Source organism: Homo sapiens, chromosome 6 (assembly GCF_000001405.40).
Source record: "Homo sapiens chromosome 6, GRCh38.p14 Primary Assembly".
NCBI classification, from domain to species: domain Eukaryota; kingdom Metazoa; phylum Chordata; class Mammalia; order Primates; family Hominidae; genus Homo; species Homo sapiens.
In genome coordinates this window covers 6,965,139-6,970,330 of record NC_000006.12, presented here as the reverse complement: position 1 = coordinate 6,970,330, position 5,192 = coordinate 6,965,139, and the positions used below count along the sequence as shown (strand labels likewise).

At 46.6% G+C, this 5,192-nt stretch overlaps 1 annotated feature.

The window, feature by feature from the left end:
• Window positions 1,341–1,635: an enhancer, noted in NCBI's record as "tiled region #4402; K562 Activating DNase matched - State 5:Enh". NCBI's record gives its function as "activates a minimal TATA promoter and a strong SV40 promoter by Sharpr-MPRA in K562 cells {active_cell/tissue: K562}" and the evidence as "EXISTENCE:reporter gene assay evidence [ECO:0000049][PMID:27701403]".

Here is a 5,192-nt window from a genome sequence, read left to right as displayed (position 1 = left end):
TCCTTTAGAGATGTAAAAGGCAGAGGGGACAGTGGGAAGCCATCTCATGGAAGCTTTTTGTGAAGCTGCTCAGAATTCCTTCTCCCTCCATTGCTAACAGCCCCTCCAGCCTCCCTCCTCCAATGGAGACATTGAAAACAGCAACTTCCCCTTCCTTGCCCTAATCAGGGGTCTCCTCCTGTTAGCCCGTAGGACATAGGAGGCGCCTGCTGGCTGCTGCTGCTGGGAGCTGTGGAAACATGTGGCTGCCACGTAGGCTGTGAGTCAGCATCCCACCTTCCACAGGGGCCTTGGGAACCTGAAGGTGCTCAGTGCTCGTTAATATTAACCATCCCAGGCAGGCCCAGGGCAAATCCAGGAAGAGAGGCGTGGCAGCCTCAGGGCAGGGCGGTGGGTGGAGACGCCAGAAGCCAGGTGTCCTCTTGGCTCTTCAAGTCACCTGGCTTATTCCCTCCTGAAAATGCATTCTCTCTTTCCCTGTTTGGGTGAACGGCTGCTGGCAGGGCCACGGAAGGGAGGGGCCAGAGATGAAGAAAGGCTTTGCAGTCAGAGCCGAGTTAGGGTTATGGTCCACTGTAAGATCTTGGAAAAGATATTCTCTGTTTTTTTGAGACAGAGTCTCGCTCTGTCGCCCAGGCTGGAGTGCAGAGGCGTGATCTCTGCTCACTGCAGTCTCCGCCTCCGGGTTTCAAGCGATTCTCCTGCCTCAGCCTCCCGAGTAGCTGGGACTGCAGGTGCCCACCACCACACCCGGCTAATTTTTGTATTTTTGGTAGAGACAGGGTTTTACTATATGTTGGCCAGGCTGGTCTCAAACTCCTGGCCTCTAGTGATCCACCTGTCTCGGCCTCCCAAGGCGCTGGGGTTACAGGTGTGAGCCACCACACATCTGGCTGGAAAAGTTACCCTCTAAGCCTTAGTTTCCTTATTTTGAGGAACGGTCATCATGATGTGTACATTTTAGGCTTATGAGTGTTTCCCTGAGATAAAATGAGCACCGGTTGGTGTGAGAAGCAGCGATGATCTTTCTTTTTTCTGAATGGCTGTTTCTCTTGTCTCTTCCCCCAAGATCTGCCTTTCCTGCCCTTTCGACTAATAAGGGAAGAACTTCTCAAACAATTCGGCTATGTAACCTGGAGATGGGACTTTATGCATCATAGTGACAACTGGCTTCTGCTTCCCTGGGTGTGGTAGTTAGTGGAGAAGGGGAGGGTGCCCTGAGGGAGGGAGGACTCTGCAGAGGAATGGGCAGCCAAGAGTTGGTTCACCTGTACAAGAAATCTCCTTGGTGATCCTGAATCCATTCATGAGTCCAGGATGTCTCGGTGGTGGAACAACATCAGGCCTCTGAAATAGGGAAAGGTGAGTTCAGCACGATTGTGAAGGGGCACTCCAGCCTTGGGGATTTGGGCGAAGGGGACATGGGGTCAGGCTGTGCAGCATTCACCTCCTGTCCTTGGAGCCTTATCACCCAGTAGATAACCAGCTGCTTGCCCAGATGACTCACAAGGGTGCTTTAACTTCTGGGATTGTTCAGGGCCAGCTCCTTGGAAATTGAGGAAAACAAGCAAACATTGGAAGATTTGTTTGTTTATTTGAAAAATATTTACTGTGCACCTATTACGTGATGGCCACTTTCTAAGTCACAGAAGGTGCAGAGCCCTGAGCCACATGGACAAGGTCCCAGCTTTCATGCAGCTGAAATCCTCCAGTGAAGGAGGACAAGAAATAAGACATCTAAATAAATAAGCAAGACAACTCAGCTTGCAGTAAGTGCTGTGATAAGGAACTAGGCAGTGGCTCTCAAATTTGAGTGTGTATCAGAATTCCCTAGAGCCCTTGATAAAAACACTGATGGCCGGGCCCCACCCCAGTATTTCTGATTCAGTGTGTCGGAGTGGGGCCTGAGAATCTGCATTTCTCATAAGTTCTTAGATGATGCTGATGCTGCTGGTCCTTGGACCACCTTTGAGAACCACAGACTTGGGTAATGGTACAAGGGGTTGGGTGGGGTGGAGCCTAGTTTAGAAACAGCTCAGAAAGATAAAGTCAAAGGCCTGTGGACTGCGTTCCTTTTTAGTTTAGAAGGCAGAAGGGATGGAGGTGCTGTGTTTTTTGTAGTTCTTTTGTGGAAAGGACAGCTGCAAACAAAACAAAAACCTCTGTCTCACTTCTTACTCTACGTTTATTCCTATTCAGATCAGCTTCTGAGGCCGGGAGTGGTAGCTCATGCCTGTAATCCCAGCACTTTGAGAGGCTGAGGCAGGAGGATCTCTTGAGTCCAGGAGTTTAAGACCAGACTGGGCAACATAGGGAGACCCTGTCTCTGCAAAAAATAAAAAACAAATGAGCTGGGCATGGTGGCACACACATGTGGTCTCAGCTACTTGGGAGGCTGAGGCAGGAGGACTGCTTGAGTCTATGAGTTGGAGGCTGCAGCGAGCCATGATCTCACCACTGCACTTCAGCCAGGTGACAGAGAGAGAGAACCTTTCTCCAAGAAAAAAAAAAAAAAAAAAACACAGAAAAAATCCTGAAACAGATGAACTTCTGGAATCTCATTTCTTTGGGGAGCCTAAAGCCAGCAGGCACGATGCTTGCTTGTAATACAGAGTATTCTCATCTATTTGTTGATTCTCACAAAGCAGGAGTTTAAAGGCCAAGTCTGGATCTAAACATTTCAGAGACACCACTGACAGCACAGAGAAGGACATTCTCATTCTAGTGAGAATCAGCTTCAGGGCTCATGTTGGGTAGCTGTTTTTATAAAAGTCTATCTATATGTGAAATAAAGATAAGAAATCATTATGGATTGATAGATGACAATTTGTCTGAAGGCAGAGGGCATAAGTTTATCTTTCTATCCTGTGTCCAGCAGCAGGCCTGCTGTAATGGTAAACCATAGATGTTTATTAATTTCATGTATTCACTTGCTCATTTATCCACAACCTGATGCTATGCAGGGTGCTAGAGATACAATGGCTAAGAGGACAGACCCAGCTCCCACCCTCATGGAGTTTATGGTTTAAATAGAGGAGGCAGACAAGTTACCAGGTAATTACATGTGGAGGGTCATTTTGTGTCCTATGATAGGAGGAATACAGGGTGATAAAGAAACACATAACTGAGAGAGGCCAGGAGGGATTCCTGGAAGAAGTGACCTCTAAGATGGGGAGAAGCTGGGTGTGTAAGGAGTGGTGTAGACGAGGGTACCAAGAAGTCAGTTTTCTGGATGGAGACACGAATGTGCAAAGACCCAGAGGTGAGAGAGAGCACAGAACATTCCCTGGCTAGTATTAGTTCAAGATGCCTGAGGCCAAGAACTGAGGCAGGAACCTGAAGGGCCTTGTAGGAATGAACGAGCAATGAATTTTAAGGGATGTTGAGAAAACGTCTTAGGATTTTGCTGTTTGGTTGCTGTTTACACTGAGAGTAAAGGTTCTGACTTATGCCCAGAATGGGAATCAATCTCACACCCAGGTTGAGGAAACTTGCTAGGGTGATGATTGGATTCTGTTTTGAGTTGGCTCTGTTTGCAGGTCCTGGTTCCCAGATTTGCCCTTCCTCCCACCTGTTGAGCTAGGATGTCTGGGCGAACCAGTTTTGATAGAGGAAGAGGCTTGTTCAACTCTTCGCCATCAAAGAGTATTCTTGGAACCAAAGTGACAACTTTATTACAATGTGGTTTGGAGAAAGATCGTGTCCAAAATGGTTGTTGAAAGGTTCAAATATAATTTTTGTGATGCTGGCCCCCAAGAGGCACAGGTAGTTTGCTGTGTGCTCTGCAGGCCTGACATCAAGGCCCTGACTAATGGCTCTATGACCCTGGGCAAGTCAGTTAGGTGGGTTTTGGCATCTCACTTTTTATACTTACAAAATGGGGATAGTCTAGGAACATTCTGAGAATGTGTACAGAAATGAGATGGTGGCTGTAAAAACACTAGGCTCCTGGAGGAAATGTTCAGACCTCCAGGATGTTGATTGTTAAAGGCGTTTAGTCATTGGTGTGGCAATGGCCAGGACTCTCTGTGTGTGTATTTAATGATTAGCTATTTAGCCTAGAATCTGTGTCTAGTTTATTTCCATAAAAATACATTGTACTTGCTTTTAGATAGACTGTCTTCTCTTTTGTTGGTATAGAGAACAGTATGTTCAGAAACTTCAGGGTAATGAAATTTCCCAAACAAGAGTGGGTCCAACCAACTTTTTCTTCTTTTAGTTAATTTTTAATGTACTTGGGAAGGCTACGCATTTTTAACTAAAAATTAGTACTGTGTATGAGAAGTGTCTATCATCTCGAAAACTCTTTGAATCCTTTTATTTTCCTTTTTTTTTGAGATGAAGTCTTGCTCTGTCACCCAGGCTGGAGTGCAGTGATGTGATCTCGGCTCACTGCAACCTCCTGGGTTAAAGTGATTCTCCTGTCTTAGCCTCCTGAGTAGCTGGGATTACAGGCATGCACCACCAGGCCCAGCTAATTTTTGTATTTTTTAGTAGAGGTTTAGTAGAGGGGTTTCACCATGTTGGCCAGGCTGGTCTCGAACTCCTGACCTCAGGTGATCCTCCTGCCTTGGCCTCCTAAAAGTGCTAGGATTATAGGCATGAGCCACCGTGCCCGGCCTCATCTTCCATCTTGAAATGCATGTTCTTATGAGGAGTGAGGTTTTCTTATACCCCCTATGCTTTCTTTATTGGGCAGTGTCCCTTTTGAGGAGTGCAGGTCTTGCTTCAACTTGAAGAAGACAGAATTGCTTCCTCTGTCTTGATGAGCTTGTTTTCTGCCCAGGCTTCCTCACACTACAGCTGGTCTGAATTTTTTTCCCCTTCTATGGTGCCTTTTTTGACCTCAAGAAATACTGAAGTTCAGACTGAAGTTACCTGTAGTGGAAATACCTGGACTTTTCCGATTGTTTGGGATGTTTCTCAGGCTGGCTCCCATGTGTGCCTTGCAGCCCTGAAAGATACTCTCAGCTCAGAGAGACAGCCTTGTTACAGGGTTTCTCTTTCTGTATGCTGGATTTCCTTCCGATTTCTCGCTACCATTTTGAAGAATGGCACGGAAGGTAGAGAGACAACCACCTTCAAATGTGATCTCTGTGCCCAACGCAAGAAAGATGGAAGCTACTCATTCGAAGTGGCAGATGCCAAATGCAAATTATAGTTCTTGGCTGAGAGAAGAGTTAACCTTAACT